Genomic DNA, 25,881 nt, shown 5'->3' with positions numbered 1-25,881 from the left:
GAATTGTATGGTGAATTAAATTTTTAAAAGCTGGGTTTTTTAAATCCATTATAGAGAAAGGAAATTATGCATCTTCAGGTAGAGATCTTCATTAAAAATAAATAAAATACTTTTGGTGAAAACCCACATAGTGGTGTTAGGATATATTCAATTTTATTTATATATTTATAAAGGATTTTATGCCCAAAATGTGTATATAAGTCTATAGCTTATGTATAGGGCTCTGTAGCAGAGCCTATGCTCCATAACTCTATCCTCTGTTTTGAGTATAGGACTTAATTCCGGACAGATACAGAACCCTACTTTTCTAATATTGCATAAATATTTCTCATAGTGAATGGAAGTAACCTGGGAGACGTAATGTAATGTGCTCTTTGCTTTGGGTTATTGACCTTTCTTATTTTTTATTCATCCTCTAAAAAGAAACAAAAGCAGGAAGAATTAACTCCTGGCTTCTCTGTTAATCTTGTCTGCTTCTCCTTCATTACCACCTCCTTCAGAATTGAATACTATCATGTCTTCTCAGATCTTTCCATCTAACTGCATCACAGCACTTATTCCATCCTGAATCATTTCCTTATTTTCAAGCACTTGTTATCTCCACAAGATGATAAGTACCTTGAGGTCAGAGATTATGTGTTATTTATCCATATTTTACCACAATTACAGACCTTCACTAAATTTCTGCAGAAGGAATGAAAATTTTACATTTGTGCATTCTAGAAGATGAGCTTTTCTAATAACTATAACATGAAATCATAAAAATTTAGAGTTGAAAGAAACCTTAGAAAATATTTGGTCTAATCTATCAATAAATGTAAGAAAACTTTCCATAGCATTTCTTAAAAACACTTTATTCAAGCCACTATTTGAATATTTCTAATGCCAAGGAATCTGCCTTACAAAGTGATTAATTGCATTTTCAACTAGCTTTTATTGTTGAAACGTTCATCATCAATGTTAAATCTAAACTTGTAACTTCCTCCCTTTGGTTGGTCTAAGATCTGTCACGTATGGCTATACATTATCTAATTTATCTTCCATGACAACATATGAATTATTTAAAGACACTATCATAACACTCCTTGTTTTCTCTGTGCCAAGCTTTCCATTTTATTCAAATGTTTCTTATAGACATGATTTCTGGACCTTTTATCATGTGGATTCAGCTCCTGTGGACATCACCAGATTTTTAATATCCACTTTAATTTGTACTTCCTGGAAATGGAACCCACAACATGTGACTGGTGTCAATTACACAAATGCCTTTTCCTTCCTTAGTCTATACCCTGGGCTTTGTTAATGGGACTAAAGCTACATGAGTTATTTTGAAAGCCATATCACACCATAGTCTTCTACTAAGCTTGCCATAAACTAAACTCTTCTGACATTTTTTTCCATGCAAGGATCCTGTGAAATCAGAGCTCTTTAGTTCTTAAACTTGCAATTAATCTTTTCAACCTTCATACAAGATTCTATATTAATTTGTGAAATAAACAAAATGCCCTACACAAACCAGGTGTTCAGCAGATGTCTGTACCTCCTTTTCACAGCACTTATTACAGAAGTAATATTGTGTTTATTATTTGGTTATTTAAGAGGAGGGCCCATGTGTATCTTTAGTCATCACTATATTCTCATCACTTAGCAAAGTGGCTAGCATAGAGTAATTGCTCAAGAATTCCCATAATTCTTTTACTGCATTGCCATGCTGCTGAAAACAACAGTGAATTCAGAGAACTGATTTGCTTGCATTAGCAGTCAATTCAGCCAAAACAATTGAGTGACCACATGGTGACAATGTTTGAAATAATCTTCTTAATAATAAACGTATTATGGCCAGTGCCATAAAAACCCAAAGCCACATTTCCAAAATATGCCCCATCTTACCTAAGAATCTAAACTTTGTGTCAAACAACTAAAGTCCCATAACCTGAAAGATTATTATTTTTTACTAAGTATGACTCTTCAAATGCCTAGTCTCTACAACATTAGCTTCTAATTAATAGGTTCGTTATGCTGATGCCATTGTTGCCATATGTAAGGTTCCAAGGAAAAAGGGTAATGTTTTATTTTCTTACTTTTACTAACTCATGAAATTTTGATTTGAGTGTGTATAATTTGTAAGATATGTAATCTTTTCTGTTTCCTTGATTAGGTAAAGGTAAACGCAAAGACAACTCAAAAAACTCATTTTTTTTAGAGTACAAAGGTGACTGATAAATAAATCATAGGTACTTTGGAAGAGATGAGCTTCTCTGCAACCTAAAATTTCTAATTAAAATTGAGCTGTCCCTATTGTGTAGTATGTGGAGGCTAAAGTTTACCTTTTATATCATACACCAACTTGAACACATTATTTCATAAATTAAGCATGAAATTCCAACTGATTTTAAAATTTGGAAAGCTTTTTGTCATTTTTGATAGCCTCCTATTTGAGGACGAATAGGCAGACAAACCTCCTGTTCTTTAATAACATAACATTAAGTACTTCTTGGAAACAGGACACAATAGAGAGAAGGACTGTTTATGAGTCAGAGGAACATGTGCTACTGTCAACTTGAATAAGAGGCATCAGATATTTCTGGTGATGAAAACCTTTCAGTGAGGTGAAACAGGCCACGTTCCATTTCTTTTATTTTCAGAGATGAGATGGATTTGAAAACCATAACCTGGCTTCTTGATGCAAGGACTCGCCACATGAGATAATCTCCAGCACATTACTATTGGCAAGCAGATCTTTCACCCTTTTGTCTCCATGCATTACAGAAAACGTTAAATCAGTTTGGTGTCCATATAAACTTTTGATCCTAGGAATAGCCTAGGGTACCATCATTATCTTCCCGAGGACCATGTGTAGGCCTTCAGTAGGTAGTACTAATTTAATCTCTTTGCTAGAGGAAAAAGTAACTGATTTTCTAGATCAATATTTGATTGAATATGTTTGAAATGTTGGCAGATAAAGGCCCCTTTTCTGGTCCAAAGACTTTTTGAACCACAGAGGTATAGCGTTCTAGCTCCCCTGGGATTTGAGTGGAAGGAGGTCTCAAAGATCTGTAAGAAGCCTTCCTGCCTTTCCTTGTGTTCTTCCAGCAAGACTCTCTAAAGGTTGAGATGAGAAAAAGATAAGATCAAGAACTGGAATGTCTTTATTCCATTTTTTTAATCTTTCCTGGGGCTTCTCTTAACTAAAAATAATCGTTTATACCACTAGTTTACAAAAACCTCCTGTAATAGGATGTTAGAAAGAGAGCCCATCTGATCAGCTTTAAGGAGTTAACCCAGTGACTTTGGCAAATAATTTGAGACCTCAGATTCTATCATTCATACCACTAATTAAACAAGAATATCAATATATCAGCAACAGAGAGATGAATACAAATTAAAATGCTAAGGTGTTAGACAGATTAGAACTTTAGTTGTCTAGTTATATTGATAAGCAAAAGAGGTTTTCACAAATTATACTGATTTTGAAAATGGAGACTGGGAAAAAATTCCATCCAAATGATATTTGACCAAACAGAGAATTTAGTTCAGAAGCACATATTTCACTGTAATTATTATATTTGCTTTTTAAAGTTTTAGTTAAATTAGTAAACCCTTCCCCAAAACAAAACATTGAAAAACAGCTTACATCTGACTGAAAAGTATTACTCAGAATAAATAGCACTAACAATACTGTTTTCTGAGTCTACATATGAAATTCAAAGAAAGATTCTTGAGGAGAATGTTTTCCTTTAATTTTCTCCTTTGCTGCAGAAATGCACATGCATTCCCTAAGCATGAAGAGAAAAAAAAATACTCACAATTTCCTGTACTTTCTTTCTTATCATTGAACTTTTGTTTAGCTGAAGGATAAATTTGCTTTCCCCTAGCTACAGACTTTGAACACAGAAGTATGCTTTATAAAGGAGTAGCCACCACATGCAAAGCCAACTGCAACTCCTTGGAAATGTGGATTCTAAAGGACTTATTTTCCACAGCTTAAGCCAAATCACTTCTCTTATTCTGAGATGAGAATATTATGGTCATTTAATTTTTTGAGAATTTCTCACAGTTTTAATCTATTTTTGTAAAATCTTCTATTCAAAGTAATGATATTCCCAATACAAACTGAATAACTCTTCAGGGCATTAGATTATATTTCTTACTTAAAATGGTAAAAATCAGCCTGCAAAAAGGGACATAGTTTTTGTATGTTTTATTTTATAACACCTTGCTCATTGCTTGGTATGGAATAGGCATGCAACAAATACTTAAGCCAATTATGTAGATAAACTGAATTTTCAAGTTTTGTTTTTAAAGAATAATCATAATTTGAATTAAATATACCAACTTTCTGTCTACAATTACATTCTGAAATATACAATGCTAATGTCATAAGAGGTTGTAATAGAATATTTCTTCACAGTGCTTATACGTCAATTGAACATAACATATAAGCTACTGCTATAGGCAGAAGGATCTTAAATGCAAACTCAGATTGCCCCTGAATCTTTGATGTAGAATCCTTGCTTCAGGGTCTTCTTGCAACCATAATGTCCCTTGTCAACCAGACAGCTCTGATTGTTATTCCTTGAGAGAGTTTCCATTTTTTTCATGACCTAAAAAGAAAGAAAGAAAGAAAAAAAAAAAAACACTGACATGAGTTATTGGATGTGAAAATTTAAAGTGATGCCAGTAAGAAATAGAAAGTATTTAATATACCTTTCCTTAATATTATTGTTAATAAATGTATGACTCTATATTTTCCCAACATTTCTTGTTTTATAAGGTTCAGTTTACACATCTCTTATTATTATTACTGTAATAGAATTCCTTTCATATACTAAGATTTAAGGTTTTAGGTTCCCTGATAATTTTCCTAACTAAAATGATGGGCACTGGGCTAATACATCTCATTGGTACATGTGAAATCTAACTTGAAAATTCTGTCTAATTCTATAATGCACTAATACTGATTACCTATCAGATTCCCCCATTCATTCAGAAATAAGAGTTTGTTACCACACATTTTCACTTATAACTGGGAGATAAACAACGGGTACACATGGACATAATGATGGAAATAACAAACACTGGGGACTCCAAGATGGGGGATGGTGAGGGGAGGATGAGAGTTAAAAGTTACCCTCAATATTGACTATGTGGGTGATGGGTACACTAGAAGCCCAAATCTCACAATTACACTCTATATCCATTGAACAAACTTGCACATGTACCCTCTGAATCTAAAAGAAAAATAAACATGAAATTGTGTTTGTGGGTGGGGAGGTGTTATATATCTGCATAATCCTTCCCTACATAATCCTTACATACCCCTTCGTTATATAATCCATAATTTTAGGGAAAGTTGACCCTAATCCCAGTTCTAGGAGAGACCTGTAGATTTGCTTGAAAACTTTTTCTCCCATGAATTGAAGAAGCATGGAATCCCACTGAAGCTGGAAGCATCATCTCACCACAGTGGGAAGCAGTCATGGGGTAGAGCCCTTCCTGGAACCCACAAGAACTAACTAGAGAGGTAGAAAAGCACTCGAGGCAAGCTGAAGTCTCTGGATCAAGTGGCCCTGAAGTTTGCCCTACCCCTTTATTTTCCTTGCTTGAAGAATCAATCCTCTTTCTCAGTTGGACATTCCTGAGTTGAGTTTTCTGTTACTTGCAGCTTTACAGGTGCTAACTGATTCTCTAACTTTTCATTATGTAAATATATTTTCTTTCTTATTTTGTTATTGCCACAAAGGACATAAATCATTTATGGCAAATCCTATGTTTTGTGTTTTTGTGGCAACATAGCTGTGCCCCAAATTCCACTATTTGAATATTTAAACTCCAAATTCATTTTCTCAGTTGAGTTTTCGTTAGTTTTAATATCATAGTCAATATGGAATTACATTTTCAAAAACACCTATTTTAGACCTGACTGCCTCCCAAGTGACTCTGAGCCTGGGGATGTTAAGGTTTCATAAAAGATACAGCCCTGATAGAGAAATCCTCTAATAAGAGCAGAAGGTTTAATCCACACCATGCACACTCTGTGCACAATAAATCCTTTTACTCAAGCAAAGAGTATAAGCAAAGTAACATTATTTGAACATTATCCTTAAAAAATTGATATATATATATAATTCATTAAGGTACATTTAAAAATATACATACATGTCATTAAACAAAGTGGCATTACAAAGAGCCATCTTTAAATCATTCCATTAATCATATCATAAAAACAATATTTGTATTGATAGGAATCAAGGAAACACTTTTCCAAAGAAACTGAGTGGCTATTACATTTTTTATTTTTAAGTTCCTCAATTGACTAATAATTTAGTTTTTTATATTTTTGCTGATAACTTTGCAAGCAACTTTAAGAAGACAGATGAACGTTACAAATGAAATTAACATATGTCTGGCAGCACCGTAATGCACTTAGTATACTTACCATTTGTTTTGATTATTTGGTTAGCATGTTCTTATTTACCCTTACTGTAAGAAACAGGATATGGTTAATCACAGGACTTTTAGCAACAATAAGAAAACACAACCAAAACCTGCTACCTATTTTTTCTGTATCTGTTAACATTACCTCTAAGAACTCTCTTTTTGGTGATGAGGGCTCAATGCTCTTAAAATAGAACAAAGATGAATCACAATGAATAGAATAAATTTACTCCTAGCATTTGCGGTAAAGAAATAAATATAAGACCGACAGGAAAATTTTAGCAAACTGTTTATATATCTATAAACTATTCTGTATTTGTACATATAAAATATCAAGTATTCTGAATAATTTTAAATAGTTTGAAATCAGTCATTCTTTTTCTTGAGATTCATATTCTGGAATGATTACATTAGTTATCAAAGTAGCTAGATAAATAATCCTGAGCAAAAAAAAATGTCATGATTCAACATTCTGGGTGCAGGTTGCCTATGACTGAGGCATGGTGATTCTCCACTTACCAGAGCAAGAAATTCCCAGGAGCACAAGGAACAGAGATATGGTTCAACAAGAGCAGAAGAGAAAAAACAGGGGACCCATTCAGGCAGAGTTGGCTTAGAGATTGTGCCCAGTAAGTTAAACCCTGTGCACTGGATCCCTTCATTACTCCAGAAAGCACTGCAACCAACGAGTCTAATCATGTAGACAGAGGGCAGTTGCCAGAATGCAGAAAGCAACCTTCTCTAGAGTCGAGCAAAAGAAGCTGGTCATCGGAGAGATGTCCATCCTTTATCTTGGGGATGAAGCTTCTGGATACAATCAAGGCAAGATGACACCATCTCCATCAATAGATGAGGATTCAGGGCAGGCTTTCAAGCTAATAATAACACAGGAACTGAAGTTAGGTAATACAAAGAAAAACAGATGAGCCTAATGTCTCAGGAAATCGACCTAAAAAGTGTAACACTTTCTACCAGGAAATTAACACTGCTACTTATAGCATAATGCTGAATGATTTCTCCAAAAACTACAAATTGAAGAATATTTTAGATAATAACTTGATGAAACTGTATTAATAAATGCTATGATACAGGCTTAAGGAAGCAGAAGATGTGAATTGTAGTTATCTTCACACATTGTATTGTAGATGTGTAGTTCTTGTAGTTATCTGCATCCACATATTATAGACTGAACATGGTATACTGAATAGAGCACAAGTCATAGATTGTGCTTTCCAGACTTAGCTTTTGCCAGTAATTGCTTTGCTTTGTGAAAGCTAGAGCCAGTATGAGCCACAATTCCCCCATTTATAAAATGAAAATGAGGAATTCAGTCAGGATGATCTCTAAGATCTCTCAAAAATTCCATGCGTTATACATTGCTGGTAGATTTCCTGAAACAATAGGCATCATCTCTATTTTTAGTTTTCTCACCTATCTTGTAGTCATGTCAATATCCATTATTATATATAAGCTGATTTTCCTAAATCACTTGTCTTTTAAAGATTAGCAGCTCTCTCACTCTTTCCACAGCATCCTAAAGGAAGCTGATCATATCAAACAGTATTGAGTCACTACGGTGATTCTAAACAAGGAGAAACAAAGCATCCAGCAGCGATGTTGGATAAGAAATAGTCTCCAAAAGGATAAAAGTAAGGCTGGCAAAATCATTGTTTTGTACCTGCCTCCAATACATTTGCGAGGGGGTGTTAATGAAAAATGAGAGTGATGTTCCCATCACACATTTTTGGATTACTGTGCAGCAACATCAATTGGAAACCTAATGAAACAGAGACCACCTACAGAGGAGGGATAGTGTGTTCCTCTGTCTTCCTGCATCCAATTTACCAACTGACTCTATGGAACAAGCTGCTGGTTTGTTTGTGGCCTTCATACTGATTGGTCATACATTTAACACTGATAATTGGCAGTGCCAATTTCCACTATCTTTCACAAGTAAAAGAATGTTGTAACGCTTTACAATTGTGTGGTAATTGTAACAGGTAACAGGCACATTTTCTTCTACCCAGGTGATCTTAAAATTCCAGCACTGATATCATCTCATGATGGTGGACTGTTGGAATTAGACTAAGTCCCAGATGAATTGGTCATTCCCCCTATTTCATTGTTTCCATTGACTAACAGAATATGCTATGTATTCATCAAATAGAACTTCTGCCAATCAGGGAAATAGCAACAAGAAACTTGGTAGGTGAATTCCCACAAAACATATCAGGGACTACATAAAGAGCTGATGTTCCAAATGGAAGTGTTCTGTTCTTTGTTTTTGCACCTGTTCAAACTGGCATCTGGTATTAAGCTTGTGACTAGTCAAACATTACTACTTTCTGTCAAGCTGGCTGGGAGAGACAAAAGAAAGAGAATACAGTGTAAAATATTAGTTCATCCTTGTGTGTTATTTTGTGACCGCATTTTCCTTGTCAGCCTCCCTCCCTGTGCTTATCGTCAAATGCAGTTTATTCTTTTTTTTTCTCTCTCAAATTTGACTTCTAGAAGCCATCTGGCATTCATTCTAATTCCCACATTACAGCTCTCCATAAGTCAGTCTGCTGACTGCCTGTCAGGTTATAGGATTAAGTTTAAGATTTTCCTAATTCGTTGTGAGGTTCTTCATGGATTTGATCTATTACATCTTCCTGAGCTTGTCCAGTTGTAGATTTCTGCATGTGATTTATGTCTAACAGGTGTTAGTTTGCTACAGCTTTCTAAATATTGGCTTCCCAATGCAAGGGAGGCTTGGGAAGACACTAGAACCCAAATTGTATTCCTACACAACTGGAGAATGGCCTCCCTGCTGAAATTCAGCGTTGCAGAACTATTTATTAAGCTAAAAAGATTGATGTTTCAATATATGGAAAAGTAAAGAGACTCAAATTCCATCATCAACTCACCAGTTGCACCTATGTATCTGTGGCTCTCAGGATACAGTATATTATTTAACAGGTGGAACAACTAGGTGAGTTTAAAAATACAGATTTACCCCTTGCTATGAATTACTGTGAATTTGAGTGTTGTTTTCTAACGTCTTACTTTAAGCTGAATGCCTTTGTATAATTTTTGTTTTCCTGGTGTAAAGTTAAAATGCCTAATGGAAACCTACTTATTGTTAGGGAGAGAAAAAGAAAGATTTCTTTTAAAGACTGTATCTAGTAAAGCATTTTAAAACTCATTATTATACTTTTGAAAGATGTATATAGCATTGAAGAAAACAGCATAAGGAATAAAGTTTATTTAATAATGAATGTCCACATAAGTCTGACACCATTACAAATGTTTATTTCTTATGCTAAGTACATTTTAATAAAATTTCTAGATTGAGATATGGTGATTTCCATAGTTTTCATGTTGGGCCATTTGTCTTATCTTTGTGTGAATGACATAACACTTATGTTTATTAAACCCATAAAATCTTTAGCCTCATATTGGTCTTTTGTGTGATATATAAAGTGCTCTTTAGTTTTAAGCCACTCTATGCTTCATAGTTATTCCTCACTTTAGCTACAGCAAGAAAATTGTTACATTCATATTATAGATGAATAATCCAAGATACAGGGAGATTAAGGCACTTGCCTGTGGTCACACTGAGAGTTAATCAAAATTAAAATGCACAGCTCTGAGTTCCCAGGCCGCTGCTCAGCCCCTGGAGCAATGCCACTTTGCACTATAAATTGTTCCGATAATTTTAAAAATTTATAATGTGCTCATCAATTTGCATATCTAAGTATGAATTACAAACATTAAAATTGGCTACAACTCCTCTTCAACCAATTACTAACAAGAAGCACCTAAAAGGTCAAAATCATGAAACACCAAAGTAAACAGACATGTGTGCACCTTTTGCTAAATACCAGTCACATAATCCAACATGTATTCATTATATTTTTGACACTAGGAAATAGTTTAAACCTTGGTTTATTCATTGTAGTTGACCTTGAATTATTAAAAGAAACTAAAGTGATATTTTAAAAAATTACTTCCATATGATTCACACATGATATGATCTTTAGATAGCAAATATTAAGGGAGTTACATATAGATGTCAGTATTAAGATATAGTGTAATTTGTCAATTGGAAATTGGCACTATTAAAAGAAAAAAGTCGGTAATATGTATTTAAAAAGCTATTCCGTATTATAAAATGTATTAAGCACTGACTACGTTCTGTTTGGGGAATTTCTTGATTTCTAACAGCATTTCTTGTATGATAAGAAGTTTTCTACAATTTTCTACCTTCAGCTGTTGTTGTTCTCATTCTTTGTCCCATCATGGTTCCATTGTTTGGTTTCTCACAGTCAGCCTTAATGGGGCAATTAACCATACAGCATTGATAAAAATACTAACTCGAGAAAATTGTCAAAAGAACATAGAACATTCAGGATCATTTTTAAAAGGCTAGTGGTCTCACTGAAAACTGTAATTAAAGTATGTGTGATTTTGCTTGTGTGTTTGTTACATAATTCTCCTGGTCTACAGTTAAAGAAAATGTGGGCCCCTACAGTAGACTGCAATGGGAAAGCACTTTTATTCTCTAGTCAGTGATAATAAAGCATAACTCCTTGGGGAGGGACTTTTTCCCTATGGTATTCGCACTACCTTTCTTTTAAATGCTGCTAAGTGTGAAATTAGTGTTGTCCCTGAAAGTGCATAAGATTAATTGTTAGTAATTGAACACAGTTTGGAGGCTAATTATATAAAAATTGATATTAAAAGAATACTACCAGATTGATTGAGTTTTACAGTTTGCATTTAGTTTTCAAATTACATGAGTTGAAAGCCAGTGGTAAGAAACAATAAAAATCCATTCAGAGCTGCTAAAGCAAATTAAGGTTTACTAGTCTTTGAAAGACAAATGAGTCAAATGCTGTAATATAGGGAAATCAGTAAAAATGGTTCTAAAATTAACTACAGAATTAAAATATCAATACCCCTAAGATTGTATGGGTTGACCACATTTTGTGTAGGTGACCTGACTTTCCCTGTGCACCTGACTAGATAAGGTAGAGCAAACCAGGAAACTAGGACCATTCTTTGAAAATATAAGTTATGATGATTTGAAAGAAAGAGGGAAGGAAGGAAGGAAGAAAGGAAGGAAGGAGAGAAAGAAAGAAGGAAAGAAAGAAGGAAAACAAAGAAAGAAAGAAAGAAAGAAAAAAGAAAGAAAGAAAGGAAGAAAGAAAGAGGAAGAAAGAAAGGGAATCGGCTTGATATAGTGTGTGTTTGTCTCCTCCAAATGTGTTGAAATGTAATCCCCAGTATTGAAGGTGGGGCCTCATGAGAGGTATCTGAGTCATGGGGAAAGATCCCTCATGAATAACTCGGTGCCATCCTCACAGTAATGAGTGAGTTCTCCCTCTATGTGCTCACGTGAGATCTGGTTGTTTAAAAGACTCTGAGACTTCCCCATTACCTCACTTGCTCCTGCTCATGCCATGTGTAATGCCCACTCCCCCTTCACCTTCCACCATGATTGTAAGCTTCCTGAGGCATTGCCAGGAATAGATGCCAGCACCATGCTTTTTGTACAGCCTGTAAAACCATGAGCAAAAATAAACTTCTTTTCCTAATAAATTACCCAGCCTCGGATATTTGTTTAGAGCAATGCAAGTAGAATAACACACAGCCTTACTACAAATGGAAACACATAACTCTATACTAATTAAAACAGTAGAATTCTGGTATAAAAGTAGACAGAGGGGTCAATGGAATGGAAAGATATCCCTAAAATAGAATCTATCATGGGTAGTAAATTAATATATAAAAGGCATTTTCCAACTCAATCAGGAAAAAAGGGCTTACCAATAATTAGTGTTTAGATAATTGGTTGGCAATTTAGGAATAGGATCAATTTTGACTTTTACTTTATACCATATACCAACCACTGTTTTTAAATTTACTTTTGAAAAACTAAAGATACTTCAAATATAGGACCATGGTTGAAAGAAACAGATGGGCTGATTGAATTTGCATTCTCACACAAATTCACTTAGACCATTCCACTTTCCCTTTTTTTTTTTTTTTTTTTTTTTTTTTTTTTGAGACAGGGTCTCAATCTGTCACCCAGGCTGGAGTGGAGTGCGGTAGTGTGATTATGGCTCACTGCAGCCTTGACCTCCAGGGCTCAAGTGACCTCCCACTTCAGCCTCCCGAGTAGCTGGTACTAAAGGCATGTGCCACCGTACTCCTGTGATTTTTAATTTTTTTTAAAAAGGGAGGTCTTACGATGTTGCCCAGATTGGTTTCGAGCTCTTGGGCTGAAGCAATCCTCCTGCCTCAGACTCCCAGAGTGCTGGGATTACAGGCCACTGTGCCTAGCCAACTTTCCAATTTTTATAAATTAAACTTCCATCTAAGATTCTGTTTGAAAAAAAATTTTTCTACTAAAAAGAAAACAAAAAGGCTTGAAAATTTGCCATATACCAAAATACATTTAGACGGATTAAATATTTATTATTAAAAATAAAACACTGAAAATCCAAAGGAACACATAATTTACCAGAAGCAAATATCTGAAATAAGTAGAATTTTCCAAATATACATTCAATAGAAGAAAAATATGTGTAGGAAAGACTGAGAGATGACTACATGAAATTTAAAACTTTCTTTACATCAAAATAAACCAAAGTAAAAAGATGACAAAAATATTTGTATCACATATGAACTTAAATGTGTTAATTCCTTAGTTTTAAAAAGCCAATGAATTAAAACTACAAACATCTTAATTTGAGGGGAAAAAAAAAAGCACATTATGCGGGCAACAATTTTCCAGAAGGAAAATCCAGGTAAATATCATCATAATAAAGAGATAGTGGATGAGAAATTTCAACCAATTTTTGCAAAATAGAGAGTGAGTGAAAGAGTGGTTACTGATGAAAGAGCAAAGGGGGAGCCTGAACCTAGAAAGTACAGAACAGGCTGACTGATCTGCCCTACTGAGCCCCAGAGAGAAGCTGGCCTCCAAAACCCCATGAATGACACATGGGACTCTAAAGACAGGGGTTCATAGACAGAGTGTACATGGAATTCAGTCACTGTTGTCTCTCTCCACCCCCATCTCACCCTCTCCTTCATACACATACGCATGCAAGCAGAATCCTCAGAAGTCAAGCTTTTATTTCCCAAGTTAAAAAGAAAACAAAATCAGTGTTTCCTTTTCCAAAGAAAATGAACCACTTCTCTGGGAAGAATTCAGGAGTGTGATAAGGCTGTTCCAGAGCAAAGTCTTCTTTTGTTGCTTTAGGGCCTCCCAGCATGATGGCTGGCTTTCACCCTACTCACCTTCCACCCTACTCACCCTACTCACCCTCCACCCTACTCACCCTACTCACCCTAAAGCAAAGCATGCCAGTGGATAAACTGCTCATGTACACAGCACACAGTCACTTATTTTTATTGTCACATTCTGAAACATCGATGGATAAGAAGGAATCACTTGGAATTGAGTGAAGCATGTATTATGAAAGAGAATGATCAAGAAGTACAAGTAGAAAGAAATGACCATCAAAGAAGTATAGGGTTCAAGCTAAAGAAAATAAAGAAAAAAAATCTCAATAATACCTTACAAATATTTCAGAAAATACTGTAACCATAAGGTATAAACAGAATGCTATTTAAAAAGGAGGGTAATTCAGAGAACAAGAAGAACTCATGAAAATTAAAATATGATGGCAAAACAAAGAACTATCACTAATAAAAAATATATGGGAAAATGAACAGCATCATGAGTATGCAAATTATCCAAATTAACACAAAAATACTCTGCTCTGTTTCACTATTAAGCATTAACAAGAGCAAAAGAAAATGTTAATAAAAATACTCAGTGTTGGGGAAAATGCAGTCAAACTCTGCTTGTGGTATTATAGATTTGTACAACTCTGGAAATAATTTAGCTATATGTATATAAAAAGAGAAAGACATAAAAACAAACTTTTGGCCTAGTGTAGAACAGTTCTCCAAGTAGCCTTATACCAACCAAGTTCTTCCCCCTTTCTTTCTTGTAGTTCTCAAGAATAACTGTAGAATGATCTGGAAATGCAACATCCTAGGATAGGAAAGGATTCACCAGAATAGCCCAAGCTCTATTGCAGTCCAGTCCTGAAGACAGGATGTCCTTCAGTGCTTTAGCCCAGTGTGTCACATGTTCCTGAGGTACAAAACCCAAGGCTAGATGCTTTCTGGCGTCCCTCATCTGTGGCACAAGTGGGACACCTGCAGCTGAGACTCCACGCTCCACAGGCAGCTTTCCTGAGCCTTGAGGGAATGACTGGTAATGAACCCAAGGCTTCTGTTGTCCCTTGCTACCTATTTATAACTAATAAACCCACTTCATGTAACTTATGTGTGGAGGTGTTCTGTCTCACTGGACTCAGACTACTTGGTAACTGGTGCACAGTTAATCTACTTCACACCTAGACATTTTTGTTCCCAAGTGAAAGATGTAAGGAAATGGAAACAAAACCTAGAAAGAGCTAGGTATGCAAATATATTATCATAATAGTATTGAAGAATAAAATACTGCTTTTGCAACAGCTGTTCTTGAATGAACCCTCAATAATCATTGCGTGCTTCTGAAATACCCACAAAGGAGCATTGAGGATATTTAAAATATTGGCCTGGGTGCGATGGCTCACGCCTGTAATCCCAGCACTTTGGGAGGCCTAGGCAGGTGGATCACTTGAAGTCAGGAGTTTGAGACCAGCCTGGCCAACGTGGTGAAACCCCATCTCTACTAAAAACATAAAAATTAGCCAGGCGTGGTGCCAGGCATCTGTAATCCCAGCTTCTTGGGAGGCTGAGGCAAGAGAATCACTTGAACCTGGGAGACGGAGGTTGCAGTGAGCTGAGATCGTGCCACTGCACTGCAGCCTGGGCAACAGAATGAGACTCTGTCTCAAACAAAATAAATAAAAATATAAAATAAAAATCACCCAACACTAGGCTTGCATATTTTGCCTTTGGAAGTAAACCGCTTTGGCTTTTCCTATTCTCAGAATCACTGGTCAATAAAAGTTGTTTCCTAGATGAAATAATGTCTGGGATTTTGAAAGGTTAATAAGAACTATACAGAGTAAGAAAAGTTGGAATAGCATTTCAGGCTGTAGAAAAAGCATGAACAAGTGTGCAGATCATAAAACAGCACAGAGAACATGGAAAACTATAAGCAGCTTAGAGTTCCTAATGTTTAAACCATGAGGCTCGGAGTGGCTGGAGATGAGACCAGGGAAATTGGTAAGGAAGTGCAGATCAAGGAGGGTCTCATGATATACCAGTTAAGAAGTTCTGATTTTAGGTAATGAATGAAGAGCCAGGAAGGGTTAAGCAGAGGCATAACAAAATTAGATTGTGTTTTGGATATAGCATCATTGCTATAGATGTGGCAGGAATAAATAAGAAATATGGGGGTGGGGGTGGGAGTTGAGTTCAGTTTAGGACATGTTACATATGTTGTGATTATAAGACATCTAAAGAAGTATGTTTGATAGGCAGTTGCTTTTATAAATATAAAGGAGAGGGAATAGATTAGGATTGAAGATACATTTATTGAGGTCATTAGCATTATAAGTAAGAATTAAAGTCATGAAAATGATGAGATTGCCACACATTTACACAAAGAATTTATAAAAGAAAAAAATAAATAACTGTGAGTAAAAACTGGAACTTTGTGGGGCATCAGTATGAAAGAGACAGGCAAGAAGAAATAATCCCAAAGAAATGAAAAAGGAAAGAACAGAGGTGGGAGAGAATGAAATAACAGTAAAATGTCAACCAAAGGGTAGAGAGTTTCAAGAAAATGTCAATAGTGTTAAATGGCATAGGGGGATTCATTTAGATATGGAACAAACATGACCATTGGACTTGATTATCTGGACATCATTGGTAATTTTTTCCAACACTAGTCCCTGCAGAACCTAATTGCAGGAAGTTTGAGTATTAGAAAGTCATAGAGGAAGCAAGAATTATGTCCTCTTTAAAAGCAGCTTTTGATAAAGCAATACAGGAGAGTGGGAGACGTAAGTAGGAGAGAGCATAGGATGTGGAATTGGTTGGGGGGGGGTGTAATTTAAGACTTGGAGACAGTTGAACATATTTATAGGACAATAAAAACATATAAGAGAAAATAAAGCATGGAAATAACAAAAGAGTACAATTTTGGAGTAAACAGTAAGTATTAAGATCTAAAGAATAGGAAATGTAGGTTTTAAACTGGGGAAGTAGACTTTAACCTTTGACAGGGTTCAGGACACACTATCCCCACATTTGGCACCCTGGCACTTGAGAAAAGAGTAGAAGCAGGAAGGTCTTTCTGACCTTCCCCTGTGGCTCTCCCCTGAAGCAGACTATAAAATAATTCTCTGACCATCCTTTAAAGTAGGTCATAAGACATTCATTCCAGAGGGATCCTCCCTATACCCAGAGGAAAGAATGAAGACACAGAGATACAAAGAAGAATTTGTACAAACAGGCCTTGCTAAGTTCCCCCTGGTTTATTACCATTAGATCATACTTCCTTTTGTCCAATCATAATTCTATAGTGTTGTCCACTCTTAATCAAATCTAAACATAAAATAGATAGTGTATTAGGCCATTTTCATGCTCTTAATAAAGACATACCCAAGACTGGATAATTTATAAAAGACAGAGGTTTAATTGACTCACAGTTCAGCATGGCTGGGGTGGCCTAAGAAAACATACAATTATGGCAGAAGGGGATACAAACTCGTCTTTCTTCACATGGTGGCACGAAGGAGAAGTGTTGAGGAAAAGGGGGAAAAGCCCCTTATAAAACCGTCAGATCTTGTGATAACTCACTCACTATAATGAGAACAGCAGCATGGGGGTAACTACTCCCATCATTCAATTATGTCCCATTGGGTCCCTCCCACTACACATGGGGATTATGTGAACTACGATTCAAGATGAGATTTGGGTGGGGACACAGCCAAACTATATCGCATTGTTTTTTGTTTCTTTAGGTCTTTATTTCCAAAAGCTTGTGAGTTGCATAAAATTTATATTAAATACATTTGGAAGCTTTTTGCTTCTCAGTCTGTCTTTTATTATAGATGCCTGAACCATGACTCTTGTGATGGGTGAGAAAAATATGTTACTTTCCCCCCCTACACCTCTGAGACTTGAGAAAAGCAAGTAAGAATGAATGGCAGGTATAGATCAACTAGTGTTCATGAGGGCAGGGGATGGCCAATTAATTGGTTGGGATCTCAAACCTCATAGCTTTATATTTTCTGCAAAATAGAAGGCAAGTTCATTTGGGTAAGAAAATTAAAGAAAATGGTAAGATGTTGAAGAGTCATGGAATCCAAATGGGAAATGGAGCTGGTAGGGTGCAATTTAAGTATTGTGAGATGGCATTGAGGTCCCAAGCCTCAATGGAACCTCTAAAATCTGAGAGCATTTTTAAAAAATACTACGATTGGTCCTCTGGATCTGTGGGTTCCGCATCTGCGGATTCAACCGTGATTAGAAATATTTGGCAAAATAGTAATAATGATACAACAATAAAAAATAACACAAATTTCCAAAAAGTGTAACAACTATTTACAGAACATTCACATTGTATTAGGTATTTTAAATAATTTATAGATGATTTAAAGTATATGGGATGGTGTGTATTGGTCATCTGCAAATGCTGTGCCATTGTATATAAGGAACTTGAGCTTCTGAGGATTTTTATGTAGGGGTTCCTGGAACCAATCCCCCAAGGATACCAAGGGTGAACTATAGCGTGCATATGCCATATATTATGCTAACCTATTTGTATGGTCTGGGGAAGCACTGTCATAATCAAACAAACATTTTACTATTTCTGCAAATAAATTTATGGGTCAAGTTTTACCCCCAAATAAATTTGCACCAAAGAAAAAGGCTTCTGGTTTTTAGAGTTTTTAGATTTTATAATTGCAGGTAAGAGACTATCATTCTGCAAAGAGCAAGATATCCACAAGTTGATAGGGGAGCATCTAGAAGCCAAAAGAGGAAGGAATTAGGAAAAGGTTCCCAACTATGGTGAATTTTGAGCTAAGTTTTGAAGGATAGTTAGTAATTAGCCAGGTGAATGAGGAGATAATAGTGTTCAAAACAAGAAATCTACGTTTCATCTTCTGGAATTAGTCATACATTTCATGGGTTAATCTTAATTTAGGTCTTCCCTGGGTTTCCTTAGAAATCATTTTATTTATTTATTTAGAGACAAAGTCTCACTCTATCTCTCAGGCTGGAGTGCAGTGGCAAGACCACGGCTCACTGCAGCCTCCATCTCCCAGGCTCAAGTGATCCTCCCACTTCAGCCTCCAGAGTAGCTGGAACTAAAGATGCACATGGAGTCAGGGTCCCACTGTGTTTGTTGCCCAGGCTGGTTTCAAGCTCCTGGGCTCAATCAGTCCTCCTACCTCAACCTCCCAAATTGTTGGGATTACAGTGTGAGCCACTGTGCTCTGACTAGAAAGCATTTAACAAGAGCTTCTACAATGGATCAATTTACACCTGATGTTTTGGTATTAATATCGAGTAAAGCCAATGACTTCTGGACTCCTGATAAAAGCTATTTGAATATTAAAAGGAGTCCTCTATTTAGCAGTAAAATTCCGAGTGAGAAATAGCAACAATAAACACATCTAGATCACATACAGGTATGGATTAATTAAAGTATTATTAACTCAAATAGTCGAGTACCTCATTACTAGAATTTAACTGAATCAAAGGATGCTTATATTACAAGAAAACTTTTTACCCTGGAAGAAATAACTTTTTAAGGGGAAAAATGCTTATCTATCATTTTGTACACTAGCATTAGCATTTGCTAGTTCAAATCTAATAAAGCCCTCTCCATGAATGCACCACTAATAAAATCTTCAAAATGGCTTCTCTCAACATTTTCTTTTTGATTTTTCATGATTTAATTAGAAACATCTTTTAAAAGGCTGGTTTTACTATGGTAGCATCACATCTGCATTTTCAGCAGTATGCTGTTTAATCACAACGGGTTATAAAGTGAAACTCCCAGTACTTATTGTATTATCTAGTAGAACCCACGCATTTTGTATTTTTAGTGCCCCTGAGTAATCATCTTATATTTGTTCATCAACATTTTAACTGCCCCTCTTAAAAGAAATGTAATTTGATAGTTAATTTTCTAAACTTGTCATCCTTGTATTTTTTTTCAAAGTAACGACATTTCATGTGCCTTTGATATGCTTCATCCTGCACCTGAACCCTTTTCTCTAATAAGTCAAAATTTATTTCTCTTTTTCTACCTTATATTAACTTTTGCAATTTTTGTTTAGAGATTTCAAACTAAATTCTTCTAAGATTTTATGATCCTCAGTAAAAATGACTTAGCTATTTTATGCCACATCACTGGATAGTTTTAGAATACATGTAAATGCTATGGTGGTAATGTTGAAATTTGTAGTGTAAGATTAGTCTAGGAAAAAATGAAATATATATTATACATACATATAAATTTAAATATATTATACCCATATAAAGTAGGTGTTGGGTTTTTTGGCAGCAAATTTTTTTTCTTTCAAGTTATTAACAAAGGACAGATTCCTTTTTCTAATAGAGACAAATTCTCCATTAAAAATACTGTCTTAAACTGACAAATAATAATTCTATATATTCTTAGGGTGCATAGTGATGTTTCGATACATATAATGTACAGTGATCAGATCTGGGTAGCTGGCATATCCATCATCTCAAACATTTATCATTTCTTTGTGTTAGAAGATGGATTTTTTTAATATTCAAAGGATGGTGAAAAGTTTTTGTGGGTTTAAGTGCTAGCTTGAGAGTTTTTTGTTCACTGTTCCTTGTCTGGAACAGAATCAAACAGGCGTAAATTGGATCAAAAACCTGTTGAAGAACTAGGGCTGTTTCCCTATCCTACCCTCCGTACCTTCCTTCCATCATTCCTTCTTTTCTTCCTTCCTTCCTTCCCTTCCTTCCTTCCTTTTCCCTTCCTTCCTTATTTCCTTCTTTTCTTCCTTCCTTCATCCTTGCCTCCCTGTTTTCTTTCTGTCTTCTCTTAAATTGCAAAGAAAAAGGGAGAGCCAATTATTCAGATAAACATGTATTGTTAATTATTGTAAGCCCCCTTGAAAGCAGGAGCTGATTCTTAGCATCCTCCACCACTCCTAGCACAGTACCTTTATCACTGTCTACATTACATGGAGTAATAGCTTAGAGCATGGGTTCAAGAGTCCAGCTGCCTTGGTTTCAGTTCTAGTCCTGTCTTACTAGATGTGTGGCTGTGGGCAAGTAACTGGACCTTCCTTTATTCTGAAAAATCCAATAATAATAGGATTCCACTTATACAGTTGTATTAATTAAATATGACATTTAAAGTACTTAGAACTCCTGACACATAATAAGAATTTAATAATTGTTAGTTACTGATATTGTTTTTCTGTTTCATTTTGCTGGCAAGATACATACATTCTTTTTCCTTTTTTGTGTGTCTTTTTAATTTACTCGACCAGCACTTCTTTATTTATTCATTGATTTATTCTTTTATTCAACACATATTATTTGAGCACTTGCCATGTTTCAGAAACAGTACTAGATTCTGGAGACTTAAAAGTAAACAAGAAACACATGGCCCTCTATTAATATGAGAGCTAAGAAGCGCTACCCAACTAAACAATAAAATACAATGCAGTGTTCCTAAGTGTTGTAACTAGAGTGGGGGGGGGGGTGCTACAGAGTTGGAGGGTACACACCCAACCCAGGTTGAGAAATGTACCTGGTGGGGACCCCCACCAGATGACAGTAATATCATCTTGTTGGAGAATACTCTGCCTTGCCACTCTCTGTTTGACTCTCTAACTCCGAAAACATGTCCCTCCCTCATCTTAGCAGGCCTCTGAGGATTCACAAATTGGGTTATTTGACCCCCCAAAAAGGATGGGGCCTCAAGAATCCATATACTTACAAAGCACTTCAGTTGATCTTGAAGCAAGAGTCTGAACATTGAGCAATAACTGTTAGGCAAAATGGACAAGAGTAGCAAGATAAGAAATATTGGAATAAAATCTCAGTGCTGCTTCAGCATATCCAAATTATAAACAAATTGGTACAACATCCCAATATTGCATTAAAGAAAAGATCTTTCAGGTATGATGCATTTCAGAGAGAGATTAATCCTAGACAGGACAATTAATGTCATCACCTTATATTCAGTGGTACATCTAAACCATGCTGGAAAGACCCAACTATTCGATTTTGAAAGACTTCCAAAGAAAGGGATTTTATGGCATTTCTTGTTGACACTTTCTAATAATTTTAATGTTAATTCTCATCACATTCTTGGACACGATTAGGAACTTTGTCTCTTTTGCTCCTGTATTTCATTTTCTGCAGATTTTTCACCCTTGCAACCCCCTCTAATTCTCTCTCAACTTCTTAGTTCCTCTCTGTTATTCTACCTTGTTCTCAAACTCTTTGTCTAGAAAATATGTGGAGCTCATACTCATTAAAATCATGCAACTAGCCAGGTATGGTGGCTCATGCCTGTAATTCCAGCAGTTTGGGAGGCCGAATTGGGCAGATCATTTGAGGTCAGAAGTTCAAGACCAGCCTGGCGAACATGACAAAACCCTGCCACTACTAGTAATACAAAAATTAGGCATGGTGGCACGCACTTGTAACTCCAGCTACTCGGGAGGCTGAGGCAGGAGAATCGCTTGAACCCATGAGGTGGATGGAGGTTGCAGTGAGCTGAGATTGCACCACTGCACTCCAGCCTGGGCGACAGAGTAAGAGTCCGTCTCGAAATAAATAAGTAAATAAAGTAAAATAAAATAAAATAAAATCATGCAACAATTATAAGCTTCAAAGCATCATGTCTCTCAAGGAACATTTGTACTTTAAGGTGAGAAAGGCTTTTTAAAAAATACAAATATATTTTGGAATTTTAGACAGAAGACAACTAATGAGGTAGAGCTGAGTTTTCTAGCTGTCCCTTAATAACCATCCTGGTTGGCTACGATCGGCAACTAATGCTTTATTTGTGGGTATTTAATTACTAGGATAATTCCTTTTATACTCCCTACTAGTTCTAGTTTGAGTGTATAGCTCATGTGCTGAGAACTACGTACTTTGATTGTTTCTGACTTATGGGGAAGCAAAATGAAATTGTCCACAATAGTTTTAAAAGCCAATTTTAACTTTTTATCTATGGCAGGATAATAATAATAATTGTCACCACCACTTAAATAGTGCGTTTCATCCTTAGACCTCAAGACGCTTCAGCGTTGTTCCTTTACATTATTTGAGTGAATATGTTTTGGAAGAGGGGACAAACTGAACAACACACAATACATGGTTAGCTATGCTAATTTTATTCCCTCCCCTCCCCTCCCCTCCCCTCTCCTTTGCTTCCCTTTCCTTTCAGAATGAGTCTTGCTCTGTCACCCAGGCTGGAGTGCAGTGACACGATCTCGGCTCACTGCAATCTCCACCTCCTGGGTTCAAGCGGTTCTCCTGCTTCAGCCTCTCTAGTAGCTGGGATTACAGGCACCCACCACCGCACCCAGCCTTGTTTTCTTTAACAAATGCAAAATAAATAGCCGTACTAAAAAGCCAGATAATATCTTGAAGATAAACTCTTTGGAAAGTAGGTTATTCTAAACAGAGGTGTTCAATGTAAGTTTGAAAATTTTTATTCACGTATACACAAATCCCGAACTTGATTAACTAATACTGAATTTTTGGCTTCCATTTTATCATATAAAGAAACAAGCAACTTGCTTGTACACAGAAAAATGGCTTTAATGAATAGTAAAACTACAGCTTTTTAAGGCTTTACTGCCTTCTAAATTTTATGAGTAAATTTTGTGGAAAACTCTGTAAATAGAGCATAATTATTTTGAAAATAGGAGCCTTTGTTATTAGTCATCTAACTGTCATGGTATATGAAGCCCCTTGCTGAATAAACAAAAGACTGAAAAAAGTTACCTGTAGAGAGTTTTTGCTATTGAAAGAATAAAAACTAAAGCAATGGGGTGAACTTTTTCTTGTTCATAGACACAAATACTGAATGCTAAACCTGGCTGAGAAAAAAATCACTTTAGCCTGATAACTGGATTACTTAGAACAAAAATAGAGAAAATTAAGAACTGAAAGGCAGAAAATTAAGGTGGAATGCAATTTAAAGAGTAAGTAGATGATGTAGGCTCTCATTTTCTTCTCCCCCTGTGTCCAGCTAATTAAAATTACAATCAAAATGAAAGAGTCTAAACTTGTAAATATCTTTAGCTAATGATTTTGTCTTTTTAATCATCTTCACATTCAAAGTCTTCTTTTATTCATTTAGGGCTTTACAATAAAATGAAATTGTTTTTCCCCGTAAAAATCCTTCTTTTAGTTTGCCTTGTCTGCTTCACTTTATATTATATACTCTCTAGTTCTTATTTCTCTTTCTCTACATTTTTTTTTCAACTTTTACTTTGAACATACTTTACAGAAGGCAAAATCTATATTAGTGTAGAGTTTGTATTTTATTTTAAAATTTAAGTGCTGATCCAAATACAATGCTTCTAGGCTCTGTCACACACAAAAATACTCATTATAATGTATACCTTATAAAATTAAACTTTCAAAAATTAAGTAGATTCAATTTTCTTACTATAAATATTTCTTTATTGCATTAAACACTAGGAAAAGTCTTTATATTCCAAAGCAAAATCACAGCTAAAGAGCCTGCTGATCCATGGAAATTTTGCTTTATATCTATGTTTACAAATGTATATGCTTCAAGCTGTCCTGGAATTACTGTGTTTGGGGATCCAAAAAATTAAAGGCACCTAAGAAACATGAAGTCCACCATGGTGGGATCCTTCAAGTAACCAGGTCCAGTACACATTAATTGGTCACTGCCATCCACATCCTTTATTAGATGACTTGTGTCCAAACCTGGAGGTCAGATCTGGGCTTTGCATAGCATCCTGTGTCTCTCTTGATCAGTTTCTGCCCTAGCTGCTTGGGGGTGGGGGGGTTACTTTATTTTCCTCCGTGTTAGTGCTAAAATATCATTTAAACCCTGGCTGCTAAAAGTGTGTTCTTGGGGCAGAAACAGTCACATCCCCTGGGAGCTTTTTGAAAACATAGAATCCCAGGCATCTCATCAGATGTATTGAATCAGAATCATGTGCACATTAAAAGTTGAATCCCCAGTTAATGTGCATGTTGAAAGTTGAGAGTACTGTTTGATGAAGTCACCTCTAAGCACTCTAGATATATTTCTGCTCCTTTTTTTTTTTTTTTTTGCCTTTATACTTCTCCAACCTCCACTCATGAATAGACAGCATATAATGTCTAAGGTAGCAATGAGAGGATTGGCTTTCATACCTTATCAGCACAGTATTTGGCCTATTGTTACCAGGTGGTCCTTGCTCCCAGAGCTCCCAAGATGGTGGTGGGCCACTTCCAAAATGGCGGCGGGCTGCTTCCAAGATGGTGGCAAGCCTCGTGTTCTCTGACCTGGGGTTCTTGGCCTCACGGATTCCAAGGAATGGAATCTTGGGCCATGCAGTGAGTGTTATAGCTCTATTAGAAGCCGTGGGTCATGGAAGAGAACCGTGGAACCCAGTGACTAGTGTTCAGCTTGATTAGGACGAACCCGGACACTTAGCCGTGTGGGAACAGTGGCAAGCCTTTAGCCCGACTGGGAGCTGTAATGGGCGCCTCGCTGGATCAGGAGCACAGCAGACACCTTGCCGGATCTGGACGGATGGAAGTCAGCAGCAGGTCTGCGACAGCGGCAAACAGCAGTGGTGGACGGCGAGAGAAAGCTCAGCTCGAACCATGACAAATGTAGACCAAAAGAGAGTGCAGCTGCAAGATTTAATAGAGTGAAGACAGAGCTCCCATACAAAGGGAGGGGACCCAAAGAGCGTAGCTGTTGCTGGCTCAGATGCCTGGGTTTATATGCTGATCATTGTCCCTCCTGCTGTGCTCTCAGGCAATAGATGATTGGCTATTTCTTTACCTCCTGTTTTTGCCTAATTAGCATTTTAGTGAGCTCTCTTTACTATCTGATTGGTCGGGTGTGAGCTAAGTTGCAAGCCCCATGTTTAAAGGTGGAAGCGGTCACCTTCCCAGCTAGGCTTAGGGATTCTTAGTCGGCCTAGGAAATCCAGCTAGTCCTGTCTCTCACTATGATGTCATTTCCCATGACTCAGGTCCCTTCTTGATAAGCTGGCTAGAATGCCTTAACCATTCAGCCTGACTTAGGTAGTGATGATGATATGCCAACTAAGGCCAACTTGTTGGCCAACAATGCCTACCTCCTGGATAAGGAACCAGCATGGGCCAGCCACACCCAAGACCAAACACAAGGGCAATAAAGGCACATGTCTGGGGCTGAGGGTAGTGTACTTCTGCTTTCTATAGCCAAGGATGGATTTTCCC

The 25,881-nt window shown here is 36.4% G+C and overlaps 1 long non-coding RNA gene across 1 annotated transcript; it reads right to left on the bottom strand.

Moving 5' to 3' along the window:
• Positions 1 to 4,453: 4,453 nt before the first annotated feature.
• On the bottom strand, positions 4,454 to 25,125 carry LINC01795 (long intergenic non-protein coding RNA 1795). Its single transcript, NR_147010.1, has 3 exons — positions 24,820 to 25,125; positions 6,958 to 7,313; positions 4,454 to 4,604 (listed from the first exon to the last, which is right to left on the bottom strand). It is a non-coding gene; the product is annotated as a long intergenic non-protein coding RNA 1795 (long non-coding RNA).
• Positions 25,126 to 25,881: the final 756 nt, after the last annotated feature.

The sequence above is a fragment of the Homo sapiens genome, chromosome 2 (genome assembly GCF_000001405.40).
Source record: "Homo sapiens chromosome 2, GRCh38.p14 Primary Assembly".
In the NCBI taxonomy this organism is placed as follows: Eukaryota; Metazoa; Chordata; class Mammalia; order Primates; family Hominidae; genus Homo; species Homo sapiens.
Note: the sequence above shows the minus strand (reverse complement) of the source record. Positions and strands in the feature narration are given on the sequence as shown.